Consider the following 949-nt stretch of genomic DNA (forward strand, 5'->3'; position numbering starts at 1 on the left):
TGGAAGGTGGAGGCTACAGTGAGCTGAGATTGCACCACTGCAATCCAGCCTGGGTGACAGAGAAAGACTTTGCCTCAAAAAAAGTACAATGGGCCCAACCAAGGTCACACTTCTCGTCAGTGGTGGAGCTAGAATTTGAACCTCTCTGATCCCATCTGATCCCATAGCCCAAGTTCTTTATAAAATTTTAAAATATGTTTTATTTTATTTTTTATAGAGACAGGGTCTTGCCATGTTGCTCAGGCTAGTCTCAAACTCCTGGGCTCAAGCAATCCTCCCACCTTGGCCTTTCAAAGTGCTGGAACTATAGGGCATGAGCCACCATGCCTTGTCCCAAAACTTAAGTTCTTAACGAGTGCTCACTGTCTCCTCCACCCATCTCTTTGTCTGTGAATTTCTGGAAGTATCCTGAGACTGTGATTCTTCTATAACTGGGGCCTTGTCTTGGGAGTGGAACCCTGCTCTATACCCCTTCCTCTTCTGTGGCTACAGCTCACCTTCCTGTTCTTACATACCCTGTTGTGTCCTGCAGGGCCTCTCCGTCCCACTCATCTCTTTGCCTAGTTTCTTCCTTTTACAACCTATTTCCTTAGCACTGTGTGCTCTTTGGAGCTGGAGTTTCACCGGGTGCCTGAGGCTCAGCCTATAGCTCAAAGGGGCAGTTGTTTTTTTCTTTCCTGGAGGTATCTGCAAGTCTTCACAGTCCACTCCACTCGCCTGCTGCTAACCCTTTGATTCCAAGCTGAGTGATAGGGTATGTGGTAGGGATTGTGGTAACCCAAGGAACTATTGAAAGACCTGAAGTTCTCCTACAACTTATGACTTCAAGGAAGTGTTTCTCAAAGAGGGTGGTACCATCCTTAGGGGATGTTTACTTGTGAGGGTACTTTTGGTTGTCACAGGATTGTAGGGGTGTGGCGGTGGAGATGGGGAAGTCTGATGTCCTATT

At 47.1% G+C, this 949-nt stretch overlaps 1 annotated feature.

Moving 5' to 3' along the window:
* Positions 381-440: an enhancer, noted in NCBI's record as "active region_19375". NCBI's record gives its function as "activates an Ori minimal core promoter by ATAC-STARR-seq in GM12878 lymphoblastoid cells {active_cell/tissue: GM12878}" and the evidence as "EXISTENCE:reporter gene assay evidence [ECO:0000049][PMID:35858748]".

This window comes from Homo sapiens, chromosome 3, assembly GCF_000001405.40.
Source record: "Homo sapiens chromosome 3, GRCh38.p14 Primary Assembly".
NCBI lineage: Eukaryota > Metazoa > Chordata > Mammalia > Primates > Hominidae > Homo > Homo sapiens.